The following is a 22,768-nucleotide window of genomic DNA, read 5'->3' as shown; positions in this document are numbered from 1 at the left end:
TGAGGCAGGAGAATTGCTTGAGCCTGGGAGGTGTAGGTTGCGTTGATCCGAGATCGCGCCACTGCACAGAGTGAGACTCTGCCAAAAAAAAAAAAAAACAGCTAAGATGACTTGTAGTTGCAGCAGTCATCATCTTCCTGAAATCTGAAGATGATTGTGAACTTGGCCTTGAAGCTCAGGTATGCCGAGTGCCCCTGGAGTCTTGCTCTGGAAAAATCTCATGTAAATCAACTCCTTTGAAATGCATACATAAAATGAGTCTTGTGGCCGTTCATTAGGGAAACATAAGGAGAATCCTGCTGTATAAGGAGAAATTACTTTATAATACCAAAAAAGCCTGCCTGCTCATTATCTGTCTTACAAAATAAAATTCTCCAACTACACTCCCAACCCTCTGTGACTGTGGCAGTGACTTTAGCAAGTTATCTTGAAATCAAAGCCATCCCTTACAGTATTGATTCTATTGAAAAAAACGAGTTTCAAAAACAAAAACGAATTTCCAGAATAAGTCCTGCTTTTAATTCAGAGACTTTTGTATCTAGTTGGTGATTTTTTTTTTTTCAGTGAAACATGCCTTGGCTAAATGCCTCCTCATTACTGAGCTGTTGTCTGTTCTTTTATTCTTCCACACAATAAGAGTGGCACCACAACATGCCATTCTGCAGAGCACGCACAGATGCCCTGATGCTTTTTATTATGGCGTGTTATTATCCCCATGCTTTTGTAGTAGGGAAAAGTGAGGGGAAACATAACCTCCCGGAGGCTTAACAAGAGTCACCTGACAGCCTCCAGGCTCCCTCTTCCTCAACAAATGTCCGCATGGTTGGGTAGGCCTGGCACTTCCAGGGGCCAGCAGAGCAGAACCTGTCCCCAGAGGTCCATGGTCCCTCCTGTCTCCCGTCTCACAGCTTTCAGACTAGAAAATCCCAGGGTGGCCTGGTGGAGGCTTGGGTAGAAGAGGCAAACTGAGAAGTGAGAAAGGGGCTGATCCCCAGGGTCCTCTAAGCAAATTGAAAAAAAGAACTGAGTGAAGGGTCGCCACCAGGGTGCTTGTGGACACAGGTGGCTTCTTTCATCTTCTTTCTTTCCCCCACAGTCCGGAGGGACTTCCAGAGCATAAGAGCCACAACAGAGTCAAGGAATGATAGGCGGGAAGGCTTCCTGGCTGGAAAGTACCAGCTAGGGTAGATGCTATACCCACAGGTTCCAACTTGGAGGCTCCAGGCCCTTGAGGTGATGAGGATAGAAAAGGGGAAAGAGTGCTGTATTTGCTGTAACAATAGTAATATTAATTATTATAATAGCAGCTCTCATTTTTTGAGCCCTAATACCATTTGCCAGATGTTGTTTTATATATTTTACATGTATTAATTCGCTTAATATTCTTAACAACCATATAAAACAGGTACCACTATTATTTTCATTTTAAAGGTAAGGAAATTGAGGCATAGAGACATTAAATAATTTTCTAGGTCTGGCAGTAATTACGTGCCAGAGCTAGTTGGAGGAGCTCTGGCAGCCTGGCCTGGAGCCCCTGCTCTGAACCACTGTGCTCTACTGCCTCCTACTGGCTGTACAATCATCATAACTATCTGAATCACAAAAAGATGTTAGATCAGCATCATCCGACAGAACTGTTAGGCAAACCCTATATGTAATTTAAAATTTTCTAGTAATTACATTAAAAAGTAAAAGAAACAGGTAAAATGAATTTTATTTACGATGTTATCCAAAATATTGTCATTTCAACGTGTAATCAGTATAAAAGCTGAGATATTTTACATTTTTTTCATGCCAAGTGTTCAAAATCAGTGTGTATTTCACCCTTACAGCATAAGCTACTTGGGAAAAGTCACATTTCAAGCACTCAATATGCACATTGAGCTACCAGATTGTGCAACGCATGTAGCACAGTTAGATACTCAGGACCTTAGAAGTAGGTGCTGCACCAACCTGGACTCGATGGGCCACATTGCCCACAGTGATAGAGGTGACCCTCTTCTTCCACGTAGAAATCCATTTTCAGTCTGAGCATCTCAAGAAACATCCAAGTATGAAAAGTGATGATCTCTATTGTGTAAGACCTGCTCTGGCACTTGGGCCAACATCTTTAATTGAGAAATGTACAATTCCTGAGGACTTTCAGTTCTTAAAATAATTATCTCTGCCAGACCGCACCCATTTCTTCTTTAGTCCCTCCTGGAGAACCCTCCTAATTCATGTCTAGGTGCAGGATTGTAGCAAGCTTCATCTTGCTTTGAACAGGAACATACTATGCCCCACCCCAGGCATTTCTTAGCCAAAGATGTAGCCAGTATATATTCTCATGACACAGGCCTGCCGCTTTATTTGCAGGAATGTGCTCACCTATTAGAGGCAGCTATGGTTCATTTGCTATGCGAGAATATAGTCTTTAGATCTTCATACAGTAATAGCTATGTCATTAGCTCCTTTACTTATTTCTGCATAATCTCTTTACATGGTTTCTTGGCCAAAGAACAAAAGTGTGTGAGGCCAGGCATCATGCTGTTAGTGGGTAATTAGCCCCACTCAGATTCACATCAACTCCAGATCCTTACCTTAAAGACAGCATGACTAGTCATATGTGTATAACTCTCCTTATTAAATATCTAAAAGCAGTAAGACTTAGGATAAACTAAACATCATTCATTTCCTCCCCAGATCCCATGGATTTTGCCTCATTTCTTGCAGAGAGATGCAGATATCTAATGATAATTTTATGTGGGATTTTTTTTCCATGAAAGTAAGAGGAGAACATAATTATAATGTTTCATTAAGAAATGTATCATCTCCTAGGCATATTGCAAGGACTATTAGTCATTCTGCTGTGAATTAGGAAACGTACTGTATAATTGCAAAATTACATTAATATCTTCAATACAGTCAAAATAACATTTCATAGAATATTCAAGTTGAAAGTACCCTACAGAACATCTAATTTCCCAGACTTGCTTGAGGATAAGAATAATTTAGAATATTTAATAACACAGAATCGGTGGCTTATCCAAGACCCACTGAATCAGAATATTGGGGAAGGGGTCCAGGAAGCTGTGTTAGTAAGCAAGAACAGTTCAGCTTATTGGTATCATCAGAAAAGGTAAGGGAACACTGAACTTTGTTTTACAGAGGAAGGGCCTGGGGCTCAGAGAGGTCAAGGGACTGGATCACATTCACACAGCTACTGTACATCAGATGGGAATTGAATCTACCTCTCCTGAATCTAGTCTAGGAACTTCCCCAAAACCAGACTACTGCATTAGGGTTCAACAAAACAGAACTGAAACCCATCATTGTCTTCTGTCTATAAAGAAAGAAGGAAATAGTAATTTTTTCCAAGGGATAGGTTTTTATATAACTTTTAATATAGTCTTCTAGACTCCCCATGATTCAAGAAGGTCCATGAAAAACTGATGACATGCAGCACACACACACACACACACACACACACACACACACACACACTCCATTTCTGCTTTATCGTGAACTCAGAAGAGACCATGTTTAGTGATTAAACTAGTCTTTTTCTTAATCCTTTAAATATTCCATGTGCATTAATTATCACTCTTTTGGATTCTCTTTTAGAGTCAACCATCAAGTCTATATCCATTTACTTCAAATATCTAAATTCTTCCTTTATCTTTTGTTCTACTTTGAGGAATGCAGGGCTATTCTTCAACAAGTAACTCATTTTTAAAATTTAAGCAAGGCGAAAATGGTGTCAATATTTATCCTCTGCTGCAGAAAATGTAGATGAAAATCCAACAAGAAATGCCTTTCCGATGTCAAAATGTTGATTTTACCACCTTCTTATAATTTTCTTTATTTCTGCAGATTGTCCGAAGCCTCCAAACATTCCCATGATCATGTTAGGGGTTTCCCTGGCTATTCTTCTCATCGGGGTTGTCCTACTGTGCATCTGGAAGCTACTGGTGTCATTTCATGATCGTAAAGAAGTTGCCAAATTTGAAGCAGAACGATCAAAAGCCAAGTGGCAAACGGTATGTGGAAACTTAGGGCTACTCCTTGTCTAGGGGAGAAAGAGGCTGGTGGAAGAGATTGAGGGGCTCAGCTTTCTTCTGCTCTGGGAGTTCAAATGTCACATTTTTTCTCTCCCACTCTCGCCATGACTCCAACAGCTTTGATTTCTGTTCTGCTTCAGGGGCAAAGGTCCAGATGACCCTCATAGCTTATATTTGTCTTAGTGCGGTGGGGATTTCCACCACGATGAAGGGTCTCATGAGGCTCCTGAGACAGCTGCTTAGGGACATTGGGGAAGTATATTTTTACCCAGCGCTTCCTCACCACTAGGAGTATCCCTCAGGCCCCATTTGATAAAGCACGGGTGCTATATCTAAACATTTCCATAAATTGGTTATGTTATAATGAATGGAATAGTGTTCATAAATAGTACGATAATTCATGCCAATTTCTTTGGAAATACTTGTTTCTGATATAATAGGTTACAAAGCAAAATTGAGATGATTTTTAAAATGCCATGCAGTTATTTTTTCTGAATAACATAAATTTTAAACAGAGACCTGAAAAAAACCCCAAAAGTATTAACCTTTAAATACATAAACTCAACAGAAATAATTTAACTGCCTTCTCTTCACAAGAGGCAATCAGAAGGCAGGACTATAGTTTTCTGTGTTTCTTTTCCACAGGAGAGATAATTACATTTCTAGAGACCCATAGAAACAATTCCATAGTTTTAATTTCATCTCTCTATCTCTAATGGTGTGTCCAGGTATCTAACAGCAATTATCTTACATTGCTGATTCTAACAACAATGATATCACTGGAGAAAATACAGGTAGACGCAATGCTCCTTTGGATTTGTCCGCCCAAATAATTTGATGTTAACAATTTTTATAGCAATGCCTTCAACTCCTAAAGCAAATGGAATTTTCCATTTTTGATAAATTTATCTTGATAAGGGATGTTTCTGTTGTATGCGGTTATTCTAAATTAATGATAATACATGGTACAGGACAATGAACACTGAAAATTTTTATCTACTTTATCTTCCCATTAAAAATGCATTTAGATACAACAGCCAAATGCAATGTATGGATTTTGTTTGGATCGTGATTTGAACAGTCCACCTGTAAAAATACATTTTTAAAACAACTGGAAAAAGGCTGGGCATGGTGGCTCACACCGTAATCTTAGAACTTTGGGAGGCCAAGACAGGAGGATTGGATCACTTGAGCTCAGGAGTTCGAGTTGGGCAACATGGCAAAACCCATCCCTACAAAAAGAAATACAAAAATTAGCCAGGCATGGTGGTTCACACCTGTAGTCCCAGCTACTTGGGAGGCTAAGGCAGGAGGATCACTTGAGCCAGGAGGTCAAGGCTGCAGTGAGCCATGATCATGCCATTGCATTCCAGCCTAGGTGACAGAGTGAGCCCCAGTCTCCAAAATAAATAATAAATAAATACATAAAAAGACTGAAAAAAGATTAATACATGCTGGGTATTAGAATGATAGCAAATAAGTATGGTTAATTTGATTAGGTATGATAATGGCATGGTGACATTGCTAGAAAATATCCATATTTTTTAGAGATGCATACTGAAGGAGTGAAAGGAAATGAAAGCTGGGGTTCACTTTGAAATAATTCAGCCAAGAGAGTGGGATGGAGGGATAGTTGAAGCAGGTGTGGCAGAACTGTGATAACTGTGGAATCTGAGCGATGGGTCTTTGGAGGTTGGTTATATAGCTTTCCTCTTTTTGCGAATGTGTGTATTTTCCATAATTAAGCAAAATTCCTCAGGAGAAGATATAATTTACTCATCCCTAACAATGTAAAAGGTAAACAGGTTAGCTTGGTGACTTAGAACACAGTACTAATGAGCCCAAAGTTGTAGGACAGTTCACTTCACCTGACCCCTGGCCACAGATGTTATTTTTGACTTTCATCAACTCTCCAACAAATGCCTTGCCATGGTTAGAAGGGCAACCAGGTAAAAGAATATGGTTAAGTTGCCACAAAGGACAATAGCAGCAAGCCCCATGATATAATCCTGGTATTTCCATTTTGAAGAGCTAAACTAAGGCTCAGAGAAGTTAAGGGACTTCCCTAACTTTTGGTGCATGGTTAAGCTGAAGCCTAATTGTTCATTGTTCTTCTAAGCACAGCCTTTGGTTGACCCTCCTGGAAATAATAAGCAGGTGTTCCACAAACACGCACTTGGGCAATTATGTGATGTGTATCTACTAACCAGCACATTTCAATGTTCTCATACAGAGGCATAAATACTGACAAGTGATTAATATCTTTAAAATAACATTTTAATTAACAGTTAATTTCCCCAAAAACATGAATTGTTCTCCCTCAGGATGTAGAACATGACTGAAATTCAAATGCTGAATTTTTGCTGTTTCTTCATCTAACATGCGACCCGAACATGCATTAAACAGAAAAAAAAGCATAAATGGAAAATATTATTCCCTTATTAAATTGAGTTTCTTTGAATAACAAATGTTTGATGTTCCTGACTAGATAATGACTGGGTAGTAATTATTCACTTGGATGCAAAAAAGGTTTAACTCAAATAATTCAGTTTAAATTTCACTAACATCCTACTGGAAAAAAATGTCGCTCACTGCACACATTTAGGGGTCTTCAATTTAACTGAGTTTTTTCCCTAAAACCTATTTCTTCTTGAAGAAGTGAATTTGACTGGTCTTTGAAACCCAGTGCCCTCCAGAGACAATAGGGACAGTCAGGCCTCCTGGCCATAGGACTGCACTGGACTCATAAAGTGACAGGGCTTAAGACAGAAAGGTCTTCACTCCTACCTCCTAAAACATTTCAGAGCAGCTGTAAAGAAAGGTTATCTTTTTTATTATGCTTTAAAAAATAATGCCCACCCCCACATATTCTTTATGAAAACACAAATGAAACATATTTAAATTCATCTTTGATTAGAATTTTTTTTCTAGGATGACAAGTCATTAACTTGAGGCAAAAAAATGTTCAGCCTGACATTTCTTGCAGTCATGAATTGATTTTGTACTGTGCTAAGCAAATCAGGTCTGTGTTTGGCAGTTGGGCGATCATTAAGGAAGCTGTGGGTCATGACAGAGTTTTCCTATTACCACTTTTTCAATCTTGAAAAATGTGTCATTGCATTTGCAGAATCCACAGCCTAAATTAGCACTCCCAGACACCTGGGGGAATCAGCCTGGTAACCCCAAATGGTTAGGGGAAAACTGACCTTTTCTGAGCAGTGGATTGCACACTCACCCGAAATAGAGTAGGACTCAAGCCTGCATTTCAGCTGGAAAGTCTGTGTAGAGAGGTTACAATCAGCAGAGCACTAGAGGAGGCAGTGTGGACATTTCCACACCTCCTCCTGGAACAAAACCCAATGTGAGTGCATTATCCTGACCTCTGATCTTCAGCTGAGGCCAGGAAATACCCTATTACACACAACAGCAATATGTACTTGCTCTTCGTCCACTTTTACACTTCCACCTTACCCTCTTACTCTAGTGAAGTCTGCTTTACCCATCACTCCCTATAAGCAATGTCTTGGCCCTAAACCAGTATTGCAAGGGACTCCCAAAATATTGCAAACCTGAATGAATGAAGTTGCTTTAAAATACGGAATGAAAACTCTGCCATCAAAATTAAACATTCAACTAAATATCTACTAAATAACATTGTGTTATCTTGTCAACTGCAATTCAAGTCACCTCCTCTATAATGCATATCAGTTATATTAAGTGTGGGATATGGGTGTATTGTAGTATGTTTGACATGATATAGGGTGCACCTACAAACAAGTATCTGGTCCTACGGAGCTCTAAGCTGGCCCTGCTCACAGCCTGTGTCCTCTTTCCAAGTGTCTTTTCTGTTCACAAAGGTGGGAGCTTCCTGGAGGAAGTGGGAAATTCCTCCAGGACAGGCTTACCCTGTCATTGCTGGCCTGAACCTCTTACTTTTTTCCATCTTGTTTCTTCAATGGAGTCTCTCATTCTCCTGTAACCAACTAGATTCTAGTCTCAAATTTAATAGAATTCCATGCATGATTTTTGTTTGCAAATGAGACTCCATCTACATCTAAATTCACATCAGTCTGCCCTTTGCCTTCAAAATCTCAAATTCTTAGAGCAGCAAGACTAGATAAGATCTGGAGGTCCCTCAGAATTAACCAGGCTGCTCTCAGGAATAGAAGCAATATACCAACTTAGCTTTCACCCATCATCCACCACCAGCCAAGGAACATTTTTCTGTTTGGCTTTATTATAGAAATAGCATATCTCTTTAAAGGCACATAACAAAAGTAGCATGTCACTTAGTCAGAGGTCAGGCCACTGGCTCTGGACAACATAGAAATGGGTGCAGGTGTGATTCCCACTCACAATGAGGGCACTGAGGCCAGTGAGTGGGAAAGACCGGGGAGTGTTTCCGATTTTATTCAATTCTTTTAAGAGCTGAAAGAAATATACTGAGCAAGCAAAGACAATTAAGGTTTTTTTTCAAATCCACCCCTAGAAATTTCTACCATAGCTATAATTCATGGAATGAGGTGATCAAAGTATAAGATTTTAACTTAGAAGGTCAGAGGCGGTACCTGGATTCCATACATACTCAGTAATGGGCTTAGAAATGTTAAGTGTACCAAAGCCCTGGGGGAAAATATCTTAATAATCCTCTCTAAAACCTAAAAGAAAAGGAAATTCCAAATGTGAAGAAAAGCTATAAATAGGAACTAATGAGAAGAGGCAGCATTTATGGAGCATTTGCTATGTGCTACACACAGTGCTAAAATACTTTACCTGGACGAGGTAGGAACAGATAGGGACACCAAGGCTCAGAGTGTCTTCAGTACGGTCATGTGGTGGAGCTGGGTTTGGACCCAGACTGTTGCCATAGCCTGTGTGATCAGCCTTGGAAAGTGGGAGAGAAGAAACTGTACCTTACCCAGACACCTTCCTCCGGCCTGGAACAACTAGAGAGGCTTGATCCTTCTGGACCTTCTGGTCCTTTTGGCTACAGCACCACTGCTATTGGCACCTGGAGGCACATCTATAACCCAAACAGCACAGCTGAGCTACCCAAGAGTCCCACACCCAACCTTCCCACTGCCCCCAAGGCAAAGCCATTTTTCCTGGCCTGCCTTTGGACTGCAACTCTTTCATGACCCCAGGGTCCTCCATACCAGTCTCTTGTGGTTGTCTTACACAGTGTTGTACATAGTAAGCAAAAGACAGCTGGTTCTTTGGCTACCCAGGGCAAGTGTTAGCTGTCCAGAGGATGGTTCCTCACTCCTCCCAAGCAACTACTTTCTCCCACTTCTGAGTTTTGATTTCATCTTAGCATGATTATTTGTGCCCTTCTTTGATGCCTCTCATGAGTAACACGTTTGTTAAAGGCAGATACTGTGTCGTTCATTTTTGTATGTTCCTACTGGTTTCACTTTTCCTGTTTTTTACTTTTTTGGCTTTGATTTCACTTTTGGTTCATCTGTCACTGTTCATGCCACTCATTCCATACATACTGAGTACCTGCTTTGGGCCAGGGACTCAGTGCTGGGAAAACAGCAGTGAGCACAACAGCTGAAGCCTTGTTTTCTATCCGTAAATTTGTGCATTACCAAAAGAGGTAAGATTTTTAGAATATACATATGGGACTTGTTCTGTATATTTAACAAAATGAAAATGTATAAATTGCAAAACACTAAACATATGAAATGCCAAATTAATCAAAATTGTTCTAATGGTTTCCAAGACTGAGCTTGACTCTCCTCTTCCAATTTGCACTACGTATTAAAACAGTATAAAAACAAAATATACATACTTTCACTTGAATCTTTTTTTTTTTTCCAGGGAACCAATCCACTCTACAGAGGATCCACAAGTACTTTTAAAAATGTAACTTATAAACACAGGGAAAAACAAAAGGTAGACCTTTCCACAGATTGCTAGAACTACTTTATGCATGAAAAAAGTCTGTTTCACTGATATGAAATGTTAATGCACTATTTAATTTTTTTCTCTTTGTTGCTTCAAAATGAGGTTGGTTTAAGATAATAATAGGACATCTGCAGATAAGTCATCCTCTACATGAAGGTGACAGACTGTTGGCAGTTTCAAAATAATCAAGAAGAGAAATATCCTTAGCAAAGAGATGACTTTGGGGATCATTTGAGGAATACTAACTCTGTTGCATTAATGCTTCAAAAAATCATCAAATGATTCATGGGGGCCTGATTTGCATTTGAAAAATGTTTGAAATTAGAGTCTCATTTGTTTCAGGAATGCAGCTACCTGAGTTTTTTGTCTCGGCAAAGTCACAAAGCCCATATACTCACATTGTGTGTCTATACTTGCCAATTAATTCTAAACTTGTAGGAAATATGCCCTCTCTTAAAGGAGAATTTTTTTTAAATCTCTGAGAAATGAGATTCTGAGTTTATTTCAGCTAAAAGGTTGCAATTCTTCTGAAGATATCTCAAATATAAGGTTGAAAGTTAAGTGTTAATAATTTTTGTGAATTTATACACACCTAAACGTTAAGTACACAAATATTTTATTTGTTTTACAAATAAGGAATAAGTAATTTATAAATTAAGAAGTTACCTATAAAAATAAAAAGATAACAACCCTATCATATAGCTTATTTTTAAATTACCTGAAAAACGATATTCTACACTGTTTCCTTTTTGACTCTGAGTTTTCAAACTGTTACTTCTCCCATATTTCTCAATCCATTTCACTCAGTTGCACAGTCTTTTAAACCCTGTAATTGTCATACCAAAGTTTCTTTTTAAAAAAAAATTACTTTAAATGCTTAGTTTATTCAAAGAGCGATCCAATAATATAAAAGGAACATGTGTTAAACACAATAAAATTTTAAATGGCTCTAAATCAAGCACATCAAGAGTATACAAGTCTTAAAGGCTTTTTAATACATACTCTTTTCCCATCTATGTAACCCAACTTGCACATTTCAGCTGCATGTGGTGAATATGCATCATATATTTACTTTAAGAGGTAAGATTTTACTTGCAAAATACATGTGCAAATTAGGGATCCATCAGTTGATGGAAGAGATGGACTCTAGAATATTATTTCTTGTGGTTATTACTCCTTTACAAAGCACTTTCGTCTCACTTGATCCTCATAAGGAAACTAAGGCTCAGAATGAGTAGAGCTGGGTTCAGAATCTAGCTCTTCTAACTCCAAGCCATCTCCTCTTTCCACTGCAGGAAACTGCCTCTTTTGTCAGTGAAATAATAGAAAGATTGTGTTAGTTAAGTGATAACTGTCATTTGTTTGAAAATGTTCGAGACTGAACAAATAGCATTTAAACTGCTGGCATATAGATGAGATATTGTACTTTTGTGCAATGTTTATTACCTTTGATTAAATTGTAATGTGAAGCTTTTACTAGGTGAATAGTTCATTATGTAGTGGAGGCTTCGTGGTTGTCCATTGAATTGTCACAGCAAAATCTATAAGTTTCTTCAATTCTACAAGATAGATCCATATACCTTTGATCACTTGGAGACTCTTTTTTTGCTGGTTTCTAGATAACTCAGGTAAATCAGACCTTTACAGAGTACAGGGCTAGGTGAAAGAATTACTGAAAAATCACCTTGAAAATCCGAAGGGCTGATATACCCTTTATGTTCCTGACTGATGCGCAGAACCTGGGGGAAATCTACAGCAATATACAGGTTGCAATGCTGATAACACAACAGCAATCCTCTCCTCTACGTGGACTTACTGTTGTTTTTTTAATTATTATTGGAATGGGATTTTAGAAAATAGAAGTTACCTTTGTGTGTGTTTTAGGGAAGGTAGAGAAGAATCTGCTCTTTCTCTGAATACTGTTTTGACCCCAGGCAGGACCTTGGAAAGGCCAAAACATTAACAGTAGTACTTCTGTTCACTGAAGAGTTATGTTACATGAAGATAAAATGGTTTTGTCGTGTTTATTATTGTATTTTGTGTTGATATAAATAAACATGGTAATTTAAACAATGAACCTTAGATGGATGATAGTTTCTTTTATTTGCTTGGCACAAAACCCTCTTCTTGGATTTCTGGATTCCTCTGTGACCTGTTCTGACTGCCTTGATGGTCTTGGTCTGGGGCCAAGGAGAAGAGCAAAAGGAGGCAGCCACAGAAGGCAAGAGACAGCAGGGAGCGGGCCTGGACATCACCATTTTGTAAAGTCAAGTTCTTTAGAGTTAGTGCTATAAACTGAAATGTATCACCTTCCACCCCCAATAGCCCCTGTCCCCCCAAAATTCATGTATTGAAGTCTTAACCCCCAGTAGCTGAGACTATAACTGTGCTTAGAAATAGAGCCTTTAAAGAGATAATTAAAGGCCGGGCACGATGGCTCATGCCTGTAATCCCAACACTTTGGGAGGCTGATGCAGGCAGATCACAAGGTCAGGAGTTCGAGACCAGCATGGCCAACATAGTGAAACCCCGTCTCTACTAAAAATACAAAAATTAGACAGGTATGGTGGCAGGCGCCTATAGTCCCAGCTACTTGGGAGGCTGAGGCAGGAGAATCACTTGAACCCAGGAAGCAGAGGTTGCAGTTGGCTGAGACCACGCCATTGCACTCCAGCCTGGGTGACAGAGTGAGACTCCATCTCAAAAAAAAAAAAAAAAAAAAAAAAGAGAGATAATTAAAATAAGGCGATGGAGTTGAGCCCTGGTCCACTATGACTAGTGTCCTTATAAGAAGAGGAGATTAGGACACAGACATAAGGAAAACCATGTGAAGATACAGGGAGAGGGTGGCCAACTACAAGCCACGGAGAGAGGCCTCATAAGAAACCAACCCAGTTGCCACCTGCACCCTGGACTTCTGGCCCCCAGAACTGAGGGAAAATAAATTCCTGTTGTGGAAGCCCCCTAGTCTGTGGTGCTCTGCTCAGCAGCCTGAGCACACTCACGCGCTCAGGGAGTCTATTCTTCTGCACATCCATTTGTTCGGTGTCATGGTGCCATGCTTATCTTCTAAATCAGGAAAATGAAGCACAAAGAGACCAAATGCTGGAAAAAGGAGTCAATTTAATCTTTCTCTTAGGCCCATTTCTTACAAGAAGACAGGCAAAGTCAAATCAAGAGTACTTATATTCTGAAACACACTGTCTCTTGTAAACTAAAGGCCAAATGTCTGAAAATAGAGAAACAGCTCCCATTTTGAATAGCACCAAGAAAGTCCCTTCTCGTCTTAATTTTTCCATCTGGGAGGTGGAATTCTTGTGTCTTCTAGCAGCTATAACAATTCCTGACACAGTAGCAACTCAATAAATTCATTCAACAAATATTTATTGAATGCCTGGTATATGCCAGACACTGTTCTTATGACTGTGGATACAGTGAACAATGAGCAAAACAAGTAATCTCTATGCTTCCAAATGAGAGAGAAAATAATAAACAAGTAAATATACATTATCAGGGTCCTGGACCCAGTTTGTGCAGACCCCAGATCCACTTGGTCCCACCTGCCTTCCAGGCCTATGCCAGGAGTTACCCCAGCACCAACCTGCACAGTCTCCTTGGTAGTAAAACCCCAGCTTCTTCCTAACTCCTAACAGGTTAAGGAGCTGCTGCAATTCCTGTGCCCAAGTCCAGAATGGCTTCCCTAGCTGCTGCCCCAAGGGACCACATAAGACAACAGGGAGGTTCAGGGGAGTCAACACTCTGAAGAATGAATGTAGATCCATAAGAGACAGAGATAAGAAGGAACCAGCAGATGAACAGGAGATGAGCCACCAGCGATGTCTTCTGGGGAAGCAGTGGCCAGCTTCCAAATGCCTCACCTTGTACCTGCGTTCCCTCATTAGCTGCCTCCCTGCCCTTTTTCACTGGGCTAGCACCCCTCAATAAAACATTAGCACATAACCTTGCTCGGGTTCTTATTATATAAGAAGACTGGACTAAGACTGTCTAACCGTCCTAAGAACTATGCAGAAAATAAAGCAGGACAAAAAGCTACACAATGCCCTGTGAGAGTGCACCCTTAGAAAGAGTTGTAATTTCTTTTATTTTTATTTGTTTATTTTTTTGAGACAGAGTCTCACTCTGTCACCCAGAATGGAGTGCAGTGGCATGATCTCAGCTCACTGCAATTTCCGCCTTCTGGGAAAGTGAATCCAAAAGTGAATTGCTCTAGACAGGGCAAAGGGTGGAAAACTTGATCTTCTGTCTTTTCATTTGGTTACACAACCAGCAAGGGAGCAACATGGCACCCCAGAAGTTTTGCATCCCATGAGCTCTCCTGGAGCTAGGTCCTGGGAGAGGCCTGACAGTCAAAGACACAGATTTGACCACCATTACCCCACCCCCCACTCTTTGGTGTCATTGACTTGGCAAGACTTCACAAATCCCATGGAGGATCTAGTTCAGTTTGAAATTTTAATCTGACCTTTGCAATTTCCAGGTATGTAGTTTATGAAAGAACTGCTCAAATAGTATTTGTTTTTTTGGCCTAAAATGTATTTACATTTATGGTCTTGCATATTAATCAATCCTGTTCTAGGTCAATATCCGAAGCTCCGTATCAAGGAACTCTGTTGTTTGTCAATAACTGACCCAATGAAAAGTTTATTTTTTTAATCCAGTTGACTTTGCTATGCATAATATAGATGTGTGTGTATGTGTATATGTAAATACATACATATATATTTCTTATTTCAATAGCTATATCTTACTAGCATTAAAGAGCTTGCATTGTTAATAAAAATTAGGGTTAACTGAATGTTGTGCACATGTACTCTAGAACTTGGGGTATAATAATAATAATAAAAAAGAAAAAACAAAAATAAAATCAATCAAAAGCTCAAAAAAATTAGGGTTAAAAGAAAAACATTAGATGAATTAATTTTAACAGAGTTTAATTGAGCAATTCACAAATTGGGCAGTTCCTCAACCAGAGTAGGTTCAGAGTGACTCAGGCAGTGCTGTGTGGTCGGAGAGGATTTACGGACAGAAAAGGGAAAGCAAGGTACAGAAAACAGAATTGACATGCAGAAACAGATTGGTTACAGTTCTGCATTTGCCCTATTTGAACACGATTTGATCAGTTGGCCACCTACACGTGGTTGAAGTATGGCTTCTGTGATGGGCTGAGACTTGGTTACTCATTACAAAAGTAGGTTACAGTCTGTTTCCACACCCAGTTAGGTTACATCATTATATATGGAGAAACCTTTAGGCCAAATTTACCAAGAGGCAGATTTAAGCTAAACCTAATTTGACTTAAGGTAACACCTACTGTTCTAAATACATTATACATGTTAACTCATTCAGAGCTCACAACAACCCTATGGGGGGGGTATTATTTTTATCTCCTATTTTACAAGTGAGGAAACTGAGGCACAGAGATGTTAAGTAAATTCCCCAGGTCATACAGCTTAACAGACTTCGAAGTGTCAAAGATAAACAAAGCCAGACACTAGTTAAGGTGGAAACAACAGACTTTAATCAGTAATACGCTATTGCAATAGGGAAGAGTCCAGCTTGAAGTGAACTCAACTTCAGTTTATATGAAGTTTACTGAGCATTTTATTTTATTTTACTTTATTTTTATAATTTTAAGTTTTTGTGGGTACATAGTAGGTGTATATATTTAGGGTGCACAGGAGATATTTTGATACAGGCATACAGTGAGTAATAATCATATCAGGGTAAATGGGGTACCCATCACCTCAAGCATTTAGCCTTTCTTTGTGTTACAAACAATCCAATTATACTCTTTTAGTTATTTTGAAATGTGCAATAAATTATTGTTCACTGTAGTCACCCTGTGGTGCTATCAAATACTATATCTTATTCATTCTATCTGACTATATTTTTTGTACCCATTAACCGTCACTCCTTCCTCTCCCTGCCCCCCTACTACCCTTCCCAGCCTCTGGTAACCATCCTTTTACTCTATCTCTGTGAATTCATTTGTTTTACTTTTTAGCTCCCATAAATAAATGAGAACATGTGAAGTTTGTGTTTCTGTGCCTGGGTTATTTAACATAATGACCTTCAGTTTCATCCATGTTGTTACAAATGACAGGATCTCATTCTTTTTATGGCTGAATATAGTACTCCATTATGTGTATGTACCACATCTTCCTTAGCCATTCATCTGTTGATGGACACAGGTTGCTTCCGAATCTTGGCTATTGTGAACAATGCTACAATAAACATGGGAGTGCAAATATCTCTTTGATATACTCATTTCCTTTCTTTTGGGTATATACCTAAGAGTGGGATTGCTAGATCGTATGTAGTTCTACTTTTAGTTTTTTGAGGAACCTTCAAACTGTTCTCCATAGTGGTTGTACTAATTTACATTCCCACCAATAGTGTATGAGGGTTCCCTTTTCTCCACATCCTTGCCAGCATGTGTTGCCTGTCTTTTAGATAAAAGCCATTTTAACTGGGGTGAAATGATATCTCATTGTAGTTTTGATCTGCATTTCTCTGATGATCAGTGATGTTGAGCACATTTTCATATACCTGTTTGCCATTTGCATGTCTTCTTTTGAGAAATGTTTATTCAGATCTTTTGCCCAATCTAAAATCAGATTATTGGTTTTTTTCCCATTGAGTTGTTTGAGCTCCTTATATAATCAGGTTATGAATCCCTTGTCAGATGGAGAGTTTGCATTTTCTTCCATATTGTAGCTTGTCTCTTCACTTTGTTGATTGTTTCCTTTGTTGTGCAGAAGCTTTTTTTTTTTTTTTTTTTTGACAGAGAGTCTTGCTCTGTAGCCCAGGCTGGAGTGCAGTGGCACAAACTCGGCTCACTGCAACCTCTGCCTCCCAGGTTCAAACAATTCTCCTGCCTCAGCCTCCTAAGTAGCTGTGATTACAGGGGCATGCTACCATGCCCGGTTAATTTTTGTATTTTAGTAGAGACGGGGTTTCACCATGTTGGCCAGGTTGGTCTTAAACTCCTGACCTCAGGTGATCTGCCCACCTCGGCCTCCCAAAGTACTGGGATTACAGGCGTGAGCCACTGTGCCTTTTAACTTGATGTGCTCCCCATTTGTCCATTTTTGCTTTAGGTGCCCATGTTTGTGGAGTATTATTCAAGAAATCTTTCCCCACTCAAATGTCTTGGAGAGTTTCCCCAACGTTTTCTTGTGGTATTTTCATAGTCTGAGGTCTTAGATGTAAGTCTTTAAATCCATTTTGACTTGATTTTTGTACATGGCAAGAGATAGGGGTCTAGTTTCATTCTTCTGCATTTGGATGTCCAATTTTCCCAGCACCATTTATTTTTGAAGAGAATGTTCTTTTGTCGACAATGTTCTTGGCAGCTTTGTTGAAAATGATTTCACTGTAGATGTATGGATTTGTTTCTGGGTTCATGTATCAGTTCTTTCTCACATTTCTGTAAAGAAATACCTGAGACTGGGTAATTTATAAAGAAAAGAAGTTAAATTGCCTCACAGTTACGCAGCCTGTACAGGAAGCATGGGCACCTCTGCTTCTGGGGAGGCCTGAGGGAGCTCTTAACTCATGGCAGAAAGCAAAGCAGACATCTTACATGGCAGGGGAGGGGGAGGTGTCACACACTTTTAAAACAACCAGCTGTCATGATTACTCACTCATTCACTATCATGAGAACAGCATGGAGGGGATGGTGCGAAACCATTCATAAGAACTCTGCCCCCATGAGCCAATCACCTGCCATCAGGCTTCACCTCCAACACTGAGGATTACAGTTTGATGTGAGATTTGGGAGGGGGCACAAATCCAAATCATATCAGTTCTTTATTCTCTTCCATTGGTTTATGTATCTATTTTTATGCCAGTAGCATGCTGTTTTGGTTACTATAGCTCTGTAGTATAATTTGAACCAGATAATGTGATTTCTCCAGTTTCGTTCATTTTACTCAGGATAGCTTTGGCTATTCTGGGTCTTTTGTGATTCCATATAAATATAAAACTGTTTTCTTTTTCCATTTCTGTGAAGAATGTCAATGGTATTTTGACAGGGATTGCATTGAATCTGTAGATTGTTTGGGGTAGTATGAACATTTTAACAATATTGAGTCTTCCAATCCATGAATATGGAATATCTTTCCATTTTGTTGTTTCCTCTTCAATTTCTTGTGTCAATGTTTTATAGTTTTCATTGCAGAGTTCTTTCACTTCTTTGGTTAATTCCTTGGTAGTTAATTTTATTTGTAGCTATTGCAAATGGGATTTTTTTAAATTTCTTTTTCAGATTGCTTGCTGTTGGCATATAGAAATGCTACTGATTTTTGTATGCTGACTTTGTATGCTGACACTTTACTGAATGTATCAGTTCTAATAGGTTTTTGCACTCCTTATGAGAATCTAATGCCTGATGATCTGTCACTGTCTCCCATCACTGCCAGATGGGACCATCTAGTTGCAGGAAAACAAGCTCTGGTATCCCACTGATTCTACAGTATGGTGAGCTGTATAATTATATATTACAATGTAATAATAGTAGAAATAAAGTGCGCAATAGATGTAATGTGCTTGAATCATCCTGAAACCATCCCCTTGGCCAGTCTGTGGAAAAACTGTCTTCCATGAAACTGGTCCCTGGTGCCAAAAATGTTGAGGACCTCAGAGTTAGATAACTCAGAACAAGGGTCATATTGCAAGAGGAGAATGCTGGTTCTGGGTAAATATGGTGGCAGTTCCTTAAACTAGACCTTAAAAGAACTATATATAAACTAAAATCTGACCTACTGAACTTTTGGGGCCCAAGCAATACTAATGTGGGGCCCTTTTGAGACAAGTAGAGTACAGAAGAGGAGACCTGCTTCCAAATCTAAAAATAAGATAGGTCTGTCAGCTCAGAAGGCAGAGCATCATGCTGTCGACTGGAGGTGAGTGGCTTCAGTGGAGCAGGGACCTGCTAATGCTGCAGACTGAGCAGAAGCCTAGAGACAGGCAAGCACAGGGAACACAGTGGGCCACTGGAACCTTGAGGGGGCCTAGAGGCAGGTGCTCAGCACATGCAATGGAAGGTGGGGCAGCGTTCTGGGCCTGGGCATGGAGCTGTGGAGGCTGCTAAGGAAGTAGCTGCCTAAAGGAGCACTGGCAAGCTGCCATGAGGGCTTGTGAGGTGCCCCCTGAGTATCCCCAGATACTAGAGGTGAGTGTGAGCACTGGAAGGGGCCCCTCAAATCTTCCAGGGACTGCGGTAAGTAACACAGGCCACAAAATTCAGGTCTGAATGTTAAAAAGACTGTTAATTCCGACTAGGCACTGACACTTGGAAAGGTTTGGGACTCAAAGACAGAAATAAGCCAGGTGCGGTGGCTCACGCCTGTAATCCCAGCACTTTGGGAGGCTGAGATGGGAGGATCACAAGGTCAGGAGATCGAGACCATCCTGGCTAACACGGTGAAACCCCATCTCTACTAAAAATACAAAAAATTAGCCGGGCGTGTTGGCAGGCACCTGTAGTCCCAGCTTCTCGGGAGGCTGAGGCAGGAGAATGGCATGAACCCAGGAGGCAGAGCTTGCAGTGAGCTGAGATCGCACCACTACACTCCAGCCTGGGGGATACAGGGAGACTCTGTCTCAAAAAAAAAAAAAAAGGGCAGAAATATTTGATATGAAGGTAGCCAAAGGAAAACCAATTTAAAGTAACACTTCTCAAATTAATATTTGTAGACCCTTAGAGGTCATTGCTCATTTCTAAGAGTAAGCTTATTCAGTCCTTTCCCTAGCCAGTCCTCCCAGAGGGACAGTCCACCAAACAAATCTCAGGTTTTTCTGGGAAGTAGGATGGCAGTGGGAAAATAAGGAGGAAGGAGTGGAGGAATGATGTAGGTCGTGAGGACCTACAGCCAAAAATAAGAGTACTGATGGAAATAACAAAGCCACAACTATTATGATAAATAACAAGCACAAATGACAGATTCCAGATTTCATTTTTTAAGAAACTCAAACAAGCTAGGACCAGTTCAGATTTGGGTTTAGCCTTTCTGAAAATAACTGCTCTTACTAACAAACAGGAATTTACCTGACTAGAATGCACAAGTCAAAACAGAAATTTACTAAAAAGAGATGCATAGATTTTCTCTAGCTCATACAGATGAGTCACACAACCTCTCTGGGAATATAATTAAGGACAAAGGAGCAGGGAAAATTCCAGAAGGCAGAGTATTTCATCACACTGAGGGAGTGGAATGTTTTAGAAAGTACTGCTATGCCACCTGTGATTTAGTTTAAGCCTTTATCCAGCCCATAAAGTAGAAGTGTACCACCCTGATTTGGAAATTAAAGTACTTTGAAAGCAAAATCACTCAGAGAGTGAAGTCAGCTCAAATGGAGGTCACTAACCATTTTTAGAAACAACCCAAGAGACCATCTTTGAATAAGAGATTTAGGGAGATTTGGAAACCCACAAATAGAATTAAGGCAACAAGAATGGGGTTGAGATGTGATTTCCACAAGAAAGCTCCAAGACAAATGATGATATTTTCTACTGTACGGTCTGAAGAAAGACAGTGTCAGTGGAAAGCAAAGGCCTTCATGGAGCTTAGAAAAGGAAAGGTAAAAGTAGGCCTGGACTAAATGGAGTTTATTCCAGAAATGTAGGGTTTGTTTAACATACAAAATCAGTAAGATAACTTGCCATATTAACAAACTGAAAAGAAAAATCATATGATCATCTCATAGGTGCAGAAGCATTATTTGACAAAATCCAACATCCATTCCTGATAAAACTTCTCATCAAACTAGGAACAGAAAGGACCCTCCTTAAGCTGATAAAGGACAGCTACAAAACTTTAGAGTTAACCTACTAACTATCCTAGCTACTACTGGAGGTTCTAGCTGGTACAATCAGGCAATAAATAAAATAGATTAGAAAGAAAGACATGAAGCTGTCTTTATTCATAGATGACACGGTCATATATGCAGAAACTCCAACAGAATCTACAAAACTACTATAACTAATAAATGAGGATAGCAAGATTTCAGGATAGAAGATTAATCTACAAAATCAATTGTATTTCTATATATTCACAGCAAGCAATTGGAAAATTTAAAAAAGAATGCTACTTATAAGAGCATCAAAAATATGAAATATTTTGGAATAAAAATGACAAAAATATAAAAGATCTATAAATTATAAACTACTAAACATTGCTGAGAAAAGTTGGAGACTAAATAAATGGATAGATACTTCTTGTTCATTGAGTCAAAAGACTCAATATTGTTAAGATGTCAATTTTCCCCAAATTGATCTTTAATTCCATGCAATCCCAATCAAAATCCCAGTAACACTTTTGTAGAAATCGGCAAACTGGTTGTGAAGCTCAAATCAGAATCCAAAGGATCTTCAACAGCCAAAACAATTTTGAAAAAGAAGAACAAAATTAGAAGGCTAACATTACCTGACTTTAAGACTTATGATAACACTACCATAATCAAAACAATGTGGTACTGATGTAAAGATAAATAATTTAGTGGAACAGAAAAGAGAGCCCAGAAATAGACATATATGGATAACTCATTTTTCATCAAGGTGCAAAGCAATTTAATGGAAAAACTGATACAGGAGCTAGAAAGAAATTGTTTAGGCAGATAGTAAGGGCAAGAGTCCTCAGCAGAATTTCCCTTTTAACAAAAAAAGTAGCCACAAATCATTCCTTTTCTAGCAAAGAGTAGCTTGAAAAAGCTACTCTTTTGAGTACAGACATAGATAAGCAAGCTGGAAGCTTGCACAGGTGAATGCCAGCAGCTGTGCCAATGGAAAAGGGTATGTTCAACATGGAGGCTTTTCTAGCAAAGAGTAGCTTGAAAAAGCTACTCTTTTGAGTACAGACATAGATAAGCAAGCTGGAAGCTTGCACAGGTGAATGCCAGCAGCTGTGCCAATGGAAAAGGGTATGTTCAACATGGAGGCTTTTCTAGCAAAGAGTAGCTTGAAAAAAGCTACTCTTTTGAGTACAGACATAGATAAGCAAGCTGGAAGCTTGCACAGGTGAATGCCGGCAGCTGTGCCAATGGAAAAGGGTATGTTCAACATGGAGGCTCCATCTTCCCTTTTCTTTGTCACCATGTGTACAGTAAAGAGGCAGGCAACATGGTGCCAACCCAGCAAAGAACTCATCTGCATAAGAAAAAGTTAGGATGGGGACAGCCAGATTTTCACATGCTATGCAAATGGCACACCTGCTCCGACTAATCTTTCATGTTCTATGTAAATCAGACACCACCTCCTCAAGCTCATCTATAAAACCCCTTGCATTTTGCCGTGGACCAGAAAATGTGCTCTGGACCCGTCTCTCTGCAGGAGAGAGCTTTTCTCTTTCTTTTACCGATTAAACTTCTGCTCTCTTCCTCACTCTTTGTGTGTCTGTGTCCTAGTTTTCCATGGCCATAAGACAACGAATCTCAGGTATTTACCCCAGACAATGGCACTGCTTCATTTTGGGGGCCCATCCAGGATCCAAGGTAGATTCATCAGAAGGGTGAGTATAGCAGCAGACCCCAACCCTTTGTTTTCATTTTGAGGCCTCCATCCTCCATTTTAAAATCAAACCAAACACTGCGCCCCCTTCAGTCATTTAAAAACAGTTAGTGTGGCTGCAAGCCTAACAAGACTTGGGGAACAGGCTTGCCAGGAGAACTTAGCAAATCCCTCTGCCCTCAGGGTGCTGGGAATGTTGGCTTTGTTTTGAACCAGTTTCTTTTCACAGAAAGCCTAGCTGTCACATGAGGCTGGAAGAGGTTCAGAGGTAACTGAGGGTTCCTGGCCA

At 39.7% G+C, this 22,768-nt stretch overlaps 1 protein-coding gene across 7 annotated transcripts in view; it reads left to right on the top strand.

Annotated features, from left to right (window-relative positions):
* Positions 1-12,027, top strand: part of ITGB6 (integrin subunit beta 6) — a 100,602-nt gene extending 88,575 nt beyond the window's left edge. For all 7 annotated transcript variants that reach the window (NM_001282353.2, NM_001282354.2, NM_001282390.2 and 4 more), the window contains 2 exons: positions 3,853-4,019; positions 9,864-12,027. In NM_001282353.2, coding sequence (NP_001269282.1) covers positions 3,853-4,019; positions 9,864-9,962 — 266 coding nt within the window. In that variant the 3' untranslated portion in view covers positions 9,963-12,027. The remainder of the gene's footprint in view (positions 1-3,852; positions 4,020-9,863) is intronic.

Source organism: Homo sapiens, chromosome 2 (genome assembly GCF_000001405.40).
Source record: "Homo sapiens chromosome 2, GRCh38.p14 Primary Assembly".
Classification (NCBI taxonomy): Eukaryota; Metazoa; Chordata; class Mammalia; order Primates; family Hominidae; genus Homo; species Homo sapiens.
The sequence above is the reverse complement of the archived record's forward strand: the minus strand, read 5'-3'. Positions and strand labels throughout refer to the sequence as shown.